The 14,499-nt window shown below is 53.9% G+C and overlaps 1 long non-coding RNA gene across 2 annotated transcripts, besides 5 other annotated features; it reads right to left on the reverse strand.

Moving 5' to 3' along the window:
- Window positions 1-1,010: 1,010 nt before the first annotated feature.
- Window positions 1,011-13,469, reverse strand: LOC105371159 (uncharacterized). Of its 2 annotated transcripts, XR_007065043.1 has the most exons (4): window positions 13,235-13,469; window positions 12,973-13,042; window positions 10,106-12,012; window positions 1,011-8,336 (listed from the first exon to the last, which is right to left on the reverse strand). It is a non-coding gene; the product is annotated as an uncharacterized LOC105371159 (long non-coding RNA). The 2 variants fall into 2 exon arrangements; XR_007065044.1 differs by having other exon boundaries at window positions 1,011-7,523; window positions 12,973-13,469.
- Window positions 4,018-4,811: an enhancer, noted in NCBI's record as "H3K27ac-H3K4me1 hESC enhancer chr16:29296048-29296841 (GRCh37/hg19 assembly coordinates)". NCBI's record gives its function as "activates a minimal SCP1, AML or CMV promoter by ChIP-STARR-seq in naive H9 embryonic stem cells {active_cell/tissue: H9 hESC(naive)}" and the evidence as "EXISTENCE:reporter gene assay evidence [ECO:0000049][PMID:30033119]".
- Window positions 4,146-4,346: a silencer, noted in NCBI's record as "peak2559 fragment used in MPRA reporter construct". NCBI's record gives its function as "represses an SCP1 promoter by STARR-seq MPRAs in K562 erythroleukemia cells {active_cell/tissue: K562}" and the evidence as "EXISTENCE:reporter gene assay evidence [ECO:0000049][PMID:32103011]".
- Window positions 4,812-5,604: an enhancer, noted in NCBI's record as "H3K27ac-H3K4me1 hESC enhancer chr16:29296842-29297634 (GRCh37/hg19 assembly coordinates)". NCBI's record gives its function as "activates a minimal SCP1, AML or CMV promoter by ChIP-STARR-seq in naive H9 embryonic stem cells {active_cell/tissue: H9 hESC(naive)}" and the evidence as "EXISTENCE:reporter gene assay evidence [ECO:0000049][PMID:30033119]".
- Window positions 5,958-6,564: an enhancer, noted in NCBI's record as "H3K4me1 hESC enhancer chr16:29297988-29298594 (GRCh37/hg19 assembly coordinates)". NCBI's record gives its function as "activates a minimal SCP1, AML or CMV promoter by ChIP-STARR-seq in naive H9 embryonic stem cells {active_cell/tissue: H9 hESC(naive)}" and the evidence as "EXISTENCE:reporter gene assay evidence [ECO:0000049][PMID:30033119]".
- Window positions 6,565-7,170: an enhancer, noted in NCBI's record as "H3K4me1 hESC enhancer chr16:29298595-29299200 (GRCh37/hg19 assembly coordinates)". NCBI's record gives its function as "activates a minimal SCP1, AML or CMV promoter by ChIP-STARR-seq in naive H9 embryonic stem cells {active_cell/tissue: H9 hESC(naive)}" and the evidence as "EXISTENCE:reporter gene assay evidence [ECO:0000049][PMID:30033119]".
- Window positions 13,470-14,499: the final 1,030 nt, after the last annotated feature.

Genomic DNA, 14,499 nt, shown 5'->3' on the forward strand with positions numbered 1-14,499 from the left:
AGGAGAATTGCTTGATCCTGGGAGGCGGAGGTTGCAGTGAGCCAAGATTGCATCATTGCACTCCAGCCTGGGTGACAAGAGTAAAACTCTGTCTCAATAAATAAATAAATACATAGGCTATTCTAGATCCCTTTGCATCTCTGTATAACTTTTAGAAACAGCTTATCAACTTCCACCAAAAAAAAAATCAGCTAGAGTTTTGATTGCAAATACTTTGAGATTACAGATAAATTTTGGGGAAGATTAACATTGTAATGGTATTGAGTGTTTGAATCCATGAACATGGTATACTTCTCCATTTATTTAGGTCTTATTTAATTTCTCTCAATAATGTTTTGACATTTTCAGTGTAAAATTGTTCAGTAGCTTCTTTCCTTAATATACAACCATGTCATACATAGACATGTACGATATGGGCTGTGCTCTCAAATTGCTTAGGGTCCGATAGCTGGGAGAAATAAAAAATCTTGGACAATGAGCCCAAGTAATTTAAGACATTCACAGTTGGGCTGTGGGTTGCTCTTGCCAATGTGCAGATGCAGGCTGCATATGTTGCAGGGTCCTCCTCATTCATTCCTCAAACATTTATCAAGCATCAGTGATATGCCCAAACGCTTAGAATATAGTGCTAAGCCAGATGGGTTCTATGGGAAAGGAAACTCAATAGTAATGATAATTATGTGCCAGGCATTTTCTACATGCTTTCCCTGTGTTATCTCATATCATCCCAACACAGCTATAAAGAAAGTGCTATTTTTAATAAACTTCATTTTTAGAGCAAAGTCTAAACCTCTGTTTTAAGTTCACAGCAACATTGAGCAGAAGGTACAGAGATTTCCCATATATCCTCTGCCCCCACACAGGCATTGCCTCTCTCATTATCAACAACCCTCACTAGAGTGGTACATTCATTCCAGCTTGTAAACCTACACTGACACATTATTATCAACCAAAGTCCATGGTTTACGTTGTAAGAGTTAAAGAAAGAGGAAAGAATCATGAAAAGTGGCTCAACAGTCCAAGATAGGTTTATTTTGGAGAATAAACCTGAGAGGAGCTTCTGGCCAATTTCAGTCAGGAGTGCTCTGTCTTACAGACTAAGAGTATGGAAGGGTTCAGGGCGAGAGAGCTTATCACAGCCTTAGGATGTTTCTGTGTGGAGGAGAAGTTTATTACAGGGTTGGAATGTCTCTGGTTGGAGGGAAGGTTACCTCTGGGCTGGCATGTCTCTGGTTACGGAGGGGTTTATCTTAGGGTTGGCATGTTTCTGGTTGGAGATGTCATTTGTGATTTATGGTCATGCTGACATTAGCCATTAGGCTGATGCCCCTTGGGTTGGATTTAGGCCGTTTTTGGTCATGGGGAACTTTAAAACAGTGGTACTTGTCCAAAATGGCGATGCTCCTGCTCTGTCATACATCAGGGTTCATTCCTGGTGGTGTACATTCTGTGGGTTTGGAAAAATTTCTAACAATATCTATCCACCATTATGGTATCATACAAAGTAGTTTCACCGCCCTAAAAATCCTCTCTGTCTTGCCTGTTCATCTCATCCTCCTGCCAGCCCCGGGCAACACTCATCTTTTGATGGCTCTCACAGTTTTGCCTTTTCCAGGATGTCACACAGTTGGAAGCACACACTACGTAGCCTTTTAAGACTGTCTTCTTTGACTTAGTAATATGCACTTACGTTTCCTCCACATCCTTTCATGGTTTGCAGCTCATTTCTGTTTAGTGCTGAATAATGCTCCACTGTCTGGATGGACCACAGTTTATTATCCATTCACTTATGGAGGGCTATCTTGGGTGCTCCCACATTTTGGCCACAGTGAATAAAGCTGCTATAAACATCTGTGTGTAGGTTCTTATGTGAATATAAGTTTCCAACTCCTTTGGGTAAATATCAAGGAGTGTAATTACTGGGTGGTATGGTAAGAGCATGTTTAGCTTTCTAAGAAGCTACCAAACTGTCTTCCACAGTGGCCACACCATTTTGCATTCCCATCAGCAATGAGTGAGAGTTCCTGTTGCTCCACATCCTCGCCCAGCATTTGGTGTTGTCGGAGTTCTGGGTTTTAGCCATGCTGTTAGGTGAGAGGCGATATCTTATGCTTATTTTAATTTGCATTTCCCTGATGACATGTGTGATGAGGAGCCTCTTTTCTTCCTTCCTTCCTTCCTTCCTTTTTCCTTCCTTCCTTCCTTTCTTTCTTTCTTTCTCTCTTTCTTTCTTTTCTTTCCTTGATGGAGTTTCACTCTTGTTGCCCATGCTGGACTGCAGTGGCACAATCTCAGCTCACTGCAACCTCCGCCTCCTAGGTTCAAGTGATTCTCCTGCCTCAGCCTCCTGAGTAGCTGGGATTACAGGCATGCACCACCATACCCCACTAATTTTTTTTTTTTTTTGTATTTTTAGTAGAGAAAGCGTTTTGCCATGTTGGCCAGGCTGGTCTCCAACTCCTGACCTCAGGTGATCTGCCTGCCTTGGCCTCCCAAAGTGCTGGGATTACGGGCGTGAGCCACCGTGCCCAGCCGGGAGCATCTTTTCGTATGCTTATTTGCCATCTGTGTATCTTCTTTGGTGAGGCATCATTTAAGATCTTTGGCCCACTTTTTAAATTGGGTTGTTTATTTTCAAATTGTTGAGTTTTAGGAATTCTTTGTATATTTTGGATAACAAGCCTCTCTTCTCAGATATTTCCATCAAAAATATTTTCTCCCAGTCTGTGGCTTGTCTTTTCATTTTCTTGGCAGCATCTTTCACAGAGCAGAAGTTTTCATTTTAATGAAGTCTAGCTTATCAATTATTTCTTTCCTGGACCCTGCCTTTGGTGCTGGATCTAAAAAGTCATTGCCAAACCCTAGGTCATCTAGATCTTCTTTTATGTTATCTTCTAGGAGTTTTATAGTTTTTCATTTTTCATTTAGGCCTGGGATCCATTTTGAGTTATTTCTTTGTGAAGGTCCATGTCTAGATTCATTGTTTGCAAGTGCTCTTTTTAAGTGCATTGATGAGGTTTGGGAAGGTCAATAACTTGGACAAAGTACACACCCTGGTCAGCAAAGGAACCCCAGACCATGCTTCTATCCATAGGGCTGAGCTGGGGCACAGCTTTGTGGAAACTGAGTTATGTATGAGACCCCACAAAAGGCTTAGAATCACTTCCCTTTTCCCCTCTCACTTCCTTGGCTCCAGAATGAGAATAGAATGCACGTCCAGAAGCTCCTTTCAGTCTGCATCCTCTGACCCGTGTGCCCACATGCTGCAAGGGCTCTGGTGCCCTCTATGAAGTACAAGGAAACACTCATAAAATAGCTAAATGTGCAGTTTTGCCCCAACCAGAGGTGATTGCAATAGAACCTGGTACAGACCAGTAGAAGCAGGCATTGACAATTCAAAGAAGAAATAATAGACAAACATAACAGAGAAAGAAACATAATTGAGAAACAGAAAAATTATGGGAGACACATAACAGAGAAAGGGTGTGTGTGTGTGTGTGTGTTAGGGAACAGCCACTATGTTCTAACTTTGGGGAAACATCATTAAGATCTCTGAATTACTGGGTCACAGAGGAAGGGATTTCAAGACCACCTGCTGACATTTGACGATTTTGCTCAAGGAAGGTTCCTGGAAGGGTGGGGCCACTCCCATGAGACAGCACAGCTCAGCAGAGCTGAACGGCTCACCCCCCACCCCCCCCCCAGCTTACCCCCTACATTGCCGATGGCCTTCTGTGCCAGGGATAGGGGCCCTGGAGCCATCGGCTAAAGGAGGCCCAGCACAAAAGGTGCCCAAGTTTATTGAGGGTTCTGGGCTAGAAGTTTAAGGCAGTAATACTGGAGAGAACCTTCTTCGTGGTGACTCTAGCTTTGGGGACGCTAAGCATGGTAGCATTTGGCACAGACCCATGAGTTTAGACACTTGGAGATTTGAGCGTTTGGGTGAGGGTGACGATGATGGTGGTGGTGGTCCTTGTGGTCCTGATGAACTCGGCTAACATTTTAGAGGGTTTGCAGCAATGGAGAAAACACAGCCCCAGACTCATGGAACTTGCGTTCTGGCAGTGGGAGGTGTACAAACAGCATCCCTCACAGTAATCCTTCTACACAGATGTTATGCTTATTCTACACTCAAGGAACCGAAGCTCAGAGATGCGCACATCTTGCCCAACCCACACAGCAGGTGGTGGTGAGCCTGGATTTGAACTGCCTTGTCCGTGGGGTGGTAGAGATTTGAGCTGAGAAGACACAAGTGCCTCACCAAAACTCGTGGGAGTATTTTGTTCTCAGGGGTGACTGAGCAAGCCATTTCCTCTTGACCCAGCTTAGCTCAACCCTTCAAAGGACCAGAGAATGGTATGTGTGTCTCTTTCTCTTTAAGCAAACTTTCCTTAGGGGAAAAGAAAAAGCCATGCCACAAGGCAGAAGAAAGTCGCAGGAATGAGGCTGTGCGGCCAGGCCTCGCGGCCACCCACCGGCTTGTGAGTGGGAAGCAGTGGGATTTCCTCCCGGGCAAACCGACCCACCCCCCACCCCCCCGAAGCGGGCCAGAGAGGTGTCCTCCGTGGGTCAGGAAGGGTCGACGCCCCCTCCTTCCCTCAGCCGCCTCCCTGCAGCATCCGGCGCCCCCATCCCCCTGCCCGCCAGATTCTGCGGAGTCTGCGAAACAAAACCGCCATTGTTTCCAGCCGGGCTGCTCAGGAAAAACAACAGGTTTTTCCACTTTGGGGCCTTTGTAGATGTGGATGCTCCGCATGCTTCTCCTCCGCTGCAGAAGGCTGTGGTCTTCTGTTCATTTCGTCAGGAAATACTCTGGGAACTCTCCAGGGCCACGGCAGCTGGGGGCCCTTCCAGCCTCCAAACTTAGGGGTTCCCTGGGACCCCAGAATCCCTATGAGCCCCAGGATCTCCCAACCTGACAGCCACCCCCAGGCACCGCGCTCTTTCTCCTCCCAAGATGCCTCTCCTCTGCGTCTCACCCCCACCTGCACTCACACGAATGTCCCAGGGTCTCCACACACCGTGGCCCCCAAGCGGCCTCCCCAAAGTCCAGGCGCTGATCCCTCCTTCCAGGGAGAGACCCCTGACCCTGGGGTGGGGGGCTCCAGGCTCCGCCGAAGACCCTCCTGGACATCTGAGCAGCAGAGCTGATGTCTTACTCCTAGAACACAAGCCCCATCAGGACATTTACAGATTTACATATTTTTTCTGTAAATCTAAAACTGTTTTAGAATAAAAAGTCACTTTTTTTGTTTTTTTTGTTTTTTTTTTTGTTTTTTTGTTTCGAGACGGAGTCTCACTCTGTCACCCAGGCTGGAGTGCAGTGGTAAGATCTTGGCTCACTGAAACCTCCGCCTCCCGGGTTCACGTGATTTTCCTGCCTCAGCCTCCTGAGTGGCTGGGATTACAGGCGCACACCACCATGCCCTGCTAGTTTTTTTTTTTTGTATTTTAGTAGAGACAGGGTTTTACCATATTGGTCAGGCTGGTCTCACACTCCTGACCTCAAATGATCCTCCCACCTCGGCCTCCCAAAGTGCTGGGATGACAGGCGTGAGCCACCGTGCCCGGCCAAAAAGTCGCTTTAAAAAGCATTTGGCTGAATGAGGGAACGAGTGTTTCCACAATATGACACGATGTCAGGCTCAGCCTAAGGCCTTGGACTGAGCAGGTTTTGATGAGCTCTGGGCCCCTGGCCACGGTTGCATCTCCGGCCGTCAGGCCTAAGCCTCGCTCTGGGGACTGTCTAGAGTGGTAGGTGCCGGTCTGGGTGCACACACGTGTCCCTTGTGTTTGCTGCTGGGAGGACGCCGCTCTCACAAATTTTGAGAAATTGGCTGGGTTTAGGAGAGTGGAGAGGCCTTACTCTTTTACAAAACTGCTTGATTTTTGACGTTCTTCTCAGTCATGCTCAGCGGCTCCCTGTTGACTAGGATATAGAGCTAAATGCCGTCATTTCTTTTCTCCATGATCAAATCTCAAACCCATCTGTACTGGCCCCAGAGATATCAGATCCTAATCCCTGGGACCTGTGAATGCTACTTTACACGGAAAAAAAGGGTCTCTGCAGATGTGATTGAACTGAGGATCTTGAGATGGAAAGATTGTTCTGAACCATGGTGGGGCGGCGTCTGATGTCATCAGGAGGTCCCGATAAGAGGGAACAGAAAGAAGTTTAAGACACGGAGAAAAGGAGGAGGCTGCGTGGCCACGGACGCAGACACTGGTGTGATGCAGCCATGACCAAAATGCCTGCAGCCCCAGGAAGACAGAAACACGGCGGGGAGGATCAAGTGAAAATGGGGAGCCCGGGCCAGCGTCTGGGGGTCTTGGAGCCTGACGGGGGCTTCCTGGTTGACAGCTGGGATGGGGTCCAGAGAGGCTCGAGCATGCTGCGACTACCCCAGGAGGCAATCAGCGATCTCACGCATGGTGCGCGGGACACAGGTGGGCCCTTCTGGGGCCTCAGCTGCTGATGCGGGTGGGAGAGGAAGGAGCCCGCCTTTGAGGGAGGCAAAGTGTGCAGAGAGAAACACTTCGAGGTTCCTTTTCCTTGTGAGAAAAGCCCTGGGTGCCACCGCCCCTCACACGGCACCACCTGCCCCTCCCTGTGGCAGAGGCTGTCCCCATTCCATTTTGGGCTGGGGGAGGCTTGTGGTCCAAGGCTAAGGGGTAAGTACATGTGCCCCAGCCCTGGAATGCACAGTAGGTCATGCCCCCCGCTGAGGAATTGCCAGAGGCAGGGGACTTGTCTGATGTCACAGCTGGCCTCACCCAGTTCTGCTGACGGATGGGCAGCCACAGGACCCCAAGTCCTGAAGCTTTGGGAAGTATGAGCCTGTCCTCTAGAAGGGCAGGTCCTGGCCTTTGTAAAGAGCTCATTTTGGTGGATTGAGAACCTGTAGAAGTGAAATTAATGAGCTGAAAGTGACACCTGCCTTTGACACAGAAAGTCCACCAGCCGCTCCTCCCCCAGCCCTACCACAGGGCAAGTTCTTGGCCCTGTGCAGGTCTGTCTCGGGTGGGGGCTGCCTCGGTTAACTCCCCTTCCCGTGGCTGTGGGGAGAGGCAGGGAGCAGCTGTAGAAACCAAGAATTCCGTCTGGATCTTCAGGGTGAAGGCTGTTTGCTGGCTGTTCCCTGCTGGTGGCACAGAGGGCTTCTGTGGATGAGGACTCGGAGGCCCCCTCTCTGAGCCCAAGGAAGGCCTCACACCCCAGTGAACCACAGAACAGGGGCCACGGCACTGCACTGGCTGAAGCTCCGGCCTCCTCTCCCTCCCACCATCTGTGCGGGATGGCTGGCTCATCCCAAATCAACTTCCTGGAGCTTTCCGAGGCCGATCTGTGAGTGACAACCAGGTGAGCTGCAGGCTGCACCGACATTTCCACCTCACTCAGCCTTCTGGATTGTAGAGACTATGTCTGCACTCAGCATTAGCGAAGGAATTGGATTCTTGGGATTGGGGGAATCGGAGGGAAGAGGCCTTTTCCATCCCGGTGGTAGCAGAAGTGGAAATCTGTGCTGGAAATAAAACACCCTGAAATAACAGAAGAACTGGACATACTCCAGAGGGTTTTGAAGAAACCATCCCAGAGCAAGAAGGCAGGCTGGCTGCTCAAAGAGCCAAGGGGTGGGGCATTTGAACTGCAGTTCAGTGACTGGAGAGGGGCCATTTGGGGCAGTGGCTTCCAAACCAAGTGGCTGGGCTTTGGTGGATGGGGAGCAGTCCATCATAAGCTACAGTTTGCAGGTCACGGATGGCTGCAAATTTCCTCCACGGCCGGAGGAAGATGGGCCCTTCCATGGGGCTGTCTAGGGCTCCGGGGCAGCTCTGGAAAAGACAGCCATGAACTTGGCCACGGGCAGGAGCCTGCAGAGTCCCAGCAGAGACCCCACCACCTGGGGGGCAGAGGCTCCCTATTGGGGTCCCCTCCTGGGGTCCTGGATCCCCACAGACCAAGCACAGGCCGACAATTTCCCTGCCCTCACGCATCTTGGAAGGCTTGGTGCTGGGCAGGGCCAGGGATGCTTCAGTGAGTTCTAAACATTCTCAGTGGATCAAAGATTCTCATAAACAGAGGCCTAAGTGCTTACATGGAAATTCCCAGTGGTTTATCTTGGGAATTAGTTAAGTGCAATAAAACAGGCTTCTGGCAGATCTGCGTCCTGTGGTGGCGTGACCCCCACACAGCCTCCTACGGACGAGCTCTGACCCACTTGAGTGGGGCTGGGCTCCCTCTCAGTGGAGGAGCACGTTTCATTAGGGACAGCTGGGGATCGTTCGCAGAAATGCAGGCGTGGCCCCCGGGAGAAGCAGACCTGTGAAAATCCGGACTTTGAACATGGAAGTAAAAAACAAGCTCTGTATGAGAACTAGGAGTCTCCAGGGATTCGTGTCTGAGTTCCTCTCTGCGAAGGAGCTTGCTGGCACTGGTCTGTCCGACCCCGGGGTTTACAGAGACTCAGGTTCCCAGACGATACTGCGTCTCCATGGCGTCCAGCGAAATGCCTCCCCCACCCCACCCAGTGGTTGGGCCTGTGGGGTAGAAAACGAACTGGGGGATTGGGATTCACTGGTGTACTCAACAGATGCATACGAGGCCCCTGTTGCAGGCTGGGCTCTGCCAGGCCGCTGTAGTACGCCGAGGTGAGTCCTCTGTGAATCGGGAATGCCCGCTCCCAGTGTCTGCCCAGAAAGCTGCACTTGTCCTGGGCCGCTCGCGGGAAGAGGTCACCCAGCAGGGAGATGTTCTGTGCCAACGTGTGCGGGGCCCCAAGGAGACAGAGGGAGGGGCAGGCGTGTGGGCCATGGTGGGGTTGGTTGGCTGAGGGCATGGGGTGCCCATGTGGGCAAGTCCCTGGGACCTCCTGAGGAGGGTGGATTGGGACTTTGCCGAGAGGCTCAGAAGGGGTCAAGGGTGCAGTGGGCAGCTCAAGCCTCCCTTTTCCGAGGGGTTCAGAGTCGCCAGAGGACCCGTAGCCCCTTGCAGCAGCAGCAGTGGCAGATGGACAGACTTTGTGGGAAGGGCCCTGCAGACACCGCCTCTCCCATCCCAGAGGTGCCTGTGAGGCAGAGGAGGAGAGGAGGCCTGCTGAGAACAAACCCTGGGTCCCCCACCTCCGAGACTGATGCACCGGGCAGAGGCCACCTTCCTGCCTCCTTGCTGGGGCATCTTCCCCTTCCTGCTGACCTGTGTGGCCATGAGACCCCGGGCTGGGCTGACCAGAGCCCTGGAACAAGCTCACAGAAAGCGCTTCTCCACTTCCCAGGGAGCCTCCTGCCCACACCAGCCTCCCTGTGGCAGGCCCAGTGTCCACGCCACATGCACTCATGGAGCTCGGCCCCTGGGAGACTTACTCCCCACCCCCCAGGACCTGCTCCTGGCACCAAGCTGGCCACAGGGGCCACGTCCTCTGCATGTAGCAGGCCTCAGGGACGGCCCTGCCCACAAGGTCACTCTGCTCCTGGGTCCTCAGGCCCCTTTGCTTCCAGGAGGAGCTTGTCCTTCCTCCTCCCACACCAAAACCCACAGAGAGGAGCGGACGCCCCGTGGCTCCTGCCCTGCCCTAGGCTGGCCACCCCTCATGCAGCTCAACTCCCACGTATTCCTGGGGCCGGGGCAGGCCAGCCCTGATGCCCACCTTCCTCTCTCCCATGGCCCCCTTTGAGGTGAGCCAGCCCTGTCTCCAAGCCTGGGGTGCTGTAGAGATGCCTCCTCCTGTCTGCTGGCTCCAGGACTGTCCCCTGCTCTGCCCCCGCCCCAGCCTCCCCACCTATGCATGTTCACAGCCCCATGGCACCTCCCAATACCTGCTGAGCTCAGCCCTGGCCCCTCATCCCAGCCCCATCTTCCTCCCACATCGTCCTCCCCAGCACCACCGCCTGACCCCTGCATGGCCAGAGGAAACACACCTTTGTCCGGCCTCCCAGCCCAGCCACAACTCAAGCTCAGCACAGGTCGCCGCTCCCCCGAGCCCCTCCCAGTCTGGTCCTGCTCGTCCCATACCTGCTGGGCTTTGGCGCAACCCTAGGCTGCCTGGCCACACGGCCCCCCGCCTTGCACCCTCACACCAGGCACAGGCAGTACTTCTCAGATGCTCACTGGGCTGCTTTCCAGTGGGTCTGGGGGCTCCTGAGGGTGACTGTGGCCTCTCCCCCACGTCCTTCCTGTCCTCATCCAGGGAGCGGGCACACAGGACTGACTGCGGTTCTGTGCTCAGCAAGGGAGACGCCCATTTTCTTCGAGGATTTCCTCTGGCGCTGACCTACTAGATGCGTGAGGTCAAGGGACGGGGGCAGGGCAGAGGAGTTCAGGTTTCAGCAGCTGCCACTCCACCCTCGTCCTGTCAGGGACACCTCGGGCCAAGGCGCTGTCTGGATTTTAGCCAGCAATGGGGAGTCCCGCTCTGCCCTGGCCACCGCCCACTGTCTCGTGTGAGTGAGTCACCGGCTGCTTCAGCTCCCTCCTCCTCCAGGGGTGACTTCACCCAGTCGGCTCTCACTGACCAAGAAAGGGATCCAAGAAATCAGGGGTGTGGAGGCAGGAGGCCAGGGGCCTTCCTGGGACCCCTCAGGAGGTTCCCCTAGCACCACTCGCAGGCAGAACAGCCCAGCCTCACCCCGAGGGCTGCGGGAGGTGCTGCTAGAAAATCACTTGGGGCTTCCTTTTGGCCTCCCAGTGAGTCATGAGGGCTGCGGCACAGAGGGGCAGGGGGACATCCAGGAGGGCTGGGTGCTCCTGCTGCTGTCCTGGGAGGGGGCACGTCAGTGTCCAGCGGGGCCGGGTGCATCCAGTAAAGGAGTGCGTGCAGCGTGTGGCATCTGAGCAAAGCTGGAGTCACACCGTGTGGCTGGGGACCGCAAACTCCTCACTCAGCTCCCCCCAGCCTCAATGTTCCCGTCTGTGAAGTGGGGCACAGGAAACCCGCCCATCCTGGGTCACAGGGTGCTGGAGGAGCAGACGGGAGTGGGTTGTGCCCTGCGAAACTCTGCACCTCGGGAGGTGGCACGTCTCTCCCGCAGCCTCACTGGGGTGTGTGTGGCCCAACCTGGGGATCCCCGCCGGCTTCTCCACTCCCTTGGCTGCTTCCAGGCTCAGCAGAGGTGGTTTCTGTCCTTCGGTTTGGATGAAGGTGGTTGGCTCAGCGGAGACCATCTTTCTCTGGTAAATGGGAACAGAGGCCCAGAGGGGATGGGATTGGCCCAAAGTCGCACATGACGGGCCCTGACTGCCCGGCCAGCTCCCCACCCCCAACAAGCTTGAGCTGCCACCCCTAAGTGCCAGGCTTCCTGGAGGGCCCCTGCCCAGGCAGCAGGCCTGAGCTCCATGGGGATGGTGGCCTGTGCCCTCCGACAGACACGGGGTTGGCCACTACTGAGGGTCAGCAGCGTGTGAGGCTGGCTGGTCACTGTGAGGCTCAGGAGGGCAGGGGGCCCAGGCCTCCATGGAATACAGGGCCACTGGGAGGCCGGGTTCACGCTGCAGGGACAGCAGTACTGGAGCTATGGGGGGACTTGGGGCCACTGGGAGGCCAGGTCCACGCTGACCACAGGGATGGCACTGCTGGAGCTACAGGGAGGTTGCTGGGGCCGCTCTGGCTGAGCTCCCAGGTGCCAGGCCCCAGGCTCCAGGAGACAGCACGGCCTGTTGTGCACACGAAGGAACCAGGAGCAGGGAAGGTCACTCGTGTCCTCGGGGTCTCACGGTTGCTGGGGTATGTTCAAGTCAAAATAAAAATGTAGAGGCGAATTTCCAAGTTTAACGTTTTATTTGGGAAGAAAGGATTGCATCTTGGGGCATATGTGCCGACCAGGTAAATGGTGGAGGTTGGAGAAGCAGTAGAAGGTTGGTGGTTTTACAAGAAAGGAGAAGGTTACCTATTGCTCTTTGAGAAAGTTCACTGGCGCTGGGAAAGTTCTGAGGACCTGGGACGTGCTGGTCAGTGTGACAGCTGTGAGCAGAATTCCTTCTGGAGTTGGAGCAAGTGACCTCAGCAGCTGTGGATAAAACTGGTCCCAGGTGACAAAAGGCAGTTTCAGCAGCTGGACTTGCAGAGAATTCCATTCTTGGAGCAGTGTTGTGCCCTGAGTACTTTTCCCCTGCCTTCCGAAGGCAGTTTTAGTTGGTGTGACAAGAATGACACACTTTGTATGATCAGTGTTTATAGGTGTGAGCTTGGTGGTGGGGGCATCCTCTGCAAACTCATCCCAGCCATAACCAGGGGGTCCTGGAGCAGCAGCCCCCGCCAAGGCCTCGGGAACTGGATTCCAGGCGCTCCGGGTGCCCGGCAAGAGGACCTGGGTGTCCGTGGGTCAGGACTCTGGAGCTCACTCTATCTGCCTTCTCCCTGCGGCTCACACTGGCCGGTGGCACCCTCCATTGGCGCCCTCACTCTCTGCATGTGGTCTGTCCGTGTCACTCATCTGCCCCTGTCACTTTGGCTTATTTATACCTTGCTGCCGAGGGCTTGCTCCTGACCGTGGCTGCCATGGAGCCCCACCTCCACCCGTCACCACATCGATTCTTTCCCTGTGGCCCCGTTTAAGTGCCCCAGGGAGGAATCTGGCCCAGTGCCTTCTTGCCCAGCCTCATTTCAGTGCCAGTCGCGAAAGCCCAGGGATTGTCTGCCCGGGAGCCCGGCGCACACCCCTGGACACAGAAGTGCTGTCCGTTCAGACGTGGTAAGGAGGGGTCCGGGGGCCAGCTCTGCTCATCTCCTCATGCCCAGGGCTGGCCCACCATGGGCACAGAGCAGCGCATGGTCAGTGAGGCTGGAAATAAAGAGCCTACTTTTCCCGGCTGAGCTGAGTCCCTTTTGGTTCCAAATGGATTCTGTGTTCCTCCCTCTGGGGCAGGCTGGCCTGGCAGGAGGTCACCACACAGGGCCCCCAGGTGTGGAGTGGGTCCCTGGGGGATAAGGGCTGAGTGGAAATGGAGGGGAGGGTGCACCTGTTGGGGGATTGACTTACCCAAGTCCAGGAGGAGGCTGTGCTGGAGGCACGGGGTCAGCAGGGACACCGTGGCTGTTTGCAGGTCGGGCTGTTTGGGATAATGCAGCGATGAGTGTCCGGTATGTTTCACTTCACTCACATAGATTCCTTGGGGTGGCACTGCCAGGTCCTGAGTAAGCCGACCTTTCACCTTTTAACAGCACCAGCTGGCTTTCCAAAGCGGCTGAGCCATTTCCCATGCCCCCCGGCAGCAAGGGAACCGATTTCTCCACATTCTTACCGGCTCCTGCCATCCTCTGGGTTTTGATCAGGGTTATTCCAGCAGGTGTGCAGTGGGCTTCGATGCGCTTTTCCCCTCTTCATGGAGGTTGAGCTCCTTTGGATGTGTTTATTTGCCATTGACATGTCGTCTTTGGTGAAATGTCTATTCAAGTCTTTTCCCTATATTTTAAACATAAACTTTTTACTTTGGAAGAATTTTCTATTTCTAGGACAGTTGTGGCATGAGCCCTGCGTTCCCATGCCCCGTTGTCAGTCTCCCCCTCGCTGGTGTCTTAAGTCTCCATGGTGCATTTGGCTACCCTGAGAAGATGACGTTGGTCTGTACGTCAACAACATTGACTGACTACAAACAAATGTCAGACTTGGTTCTGATTTCAGTCATTTTTTCACCAACATCTCTGTTCTGTCCCAGGACCCCGTGTGACACTCCATCCCCAGGGCCTCCTCTCAACTGAGACCATTTCTCAGAATTTCCCTATTTTTGAGGACCTTGACAGTTTTGAAGAGGACCGGCTGAGTATTTTGTGGACTGTCCCTCAATTTGAGTTCTCCTGGCGTTTTTCTCCTGGGTAGAGCGAGATCCTGGGTTTTCAGGAAGAACATGCAGGGGTCAAGTGCTTGGTGCCTCACATCCCCGCAGGGGTTGGCACCGCCAGCAGGACGTGTGGCTGTCGACACTGACCTGGGCCGCTGGGCTGAGGTCACGCTTGTCACACTGCTCTACTCTGTTCTTTGGAAGCAAGTCACTAAGCCCGGGCCACCATAACATTTTTATTGAGGTAAGCCTGGGAGGGTGCCCCAGACACTCGCTTGAAGTACATCAAATGTTTTCTGTGTGGAAAATGCCCAGCCCGGCCCCCATGAGCTGTGGGATACCAGGCAGGTCACCTCCCCTCTGTGAGCCTCCCCTGAAGAGGGAGGGGATCCTTGGACATATAGAGCCCTGGGCCTGGGCAGTGACATCACATTTAGGCCCTTGGAAGGGCATGGAAGGTCACGGGCTGCCGGGAGGAGAGATGGTATTTCAGTTGACCTAGGAGGGCCTGGGCCATGCAGGGGCTGGGTGAGGGCTGGGTGTGCTGGGTCCCTCTGCTCAGCCCTCCCCTTTCTCACAGCCCAGTCTTTCCATGAGGAGCAGGTGAAGGCGGGGCAGGCAGGGCAGGCAGGAGCTGGGCTCCACACCAGTGGAACTGGGTTTGAGTCTTTCCACTTTCCACGGCCGGCTGGGGCAAGCTGCATAATTTCTCTGCGCCTTAGCTTCTT

This window comes from Homo sapiens, chromosome 16 (genome assembly GCF_000001405.40).
Source record: "Homo sapiens chromosome 16, GRCh38.p14 Primary Assembly".
Classification (NCBI taxonomy): domain Eukaryota; kingdom Metazoa; phylum Chordata; class Mammalia; order Primates; family Hominidae; genus Homo; species Homo sapiens.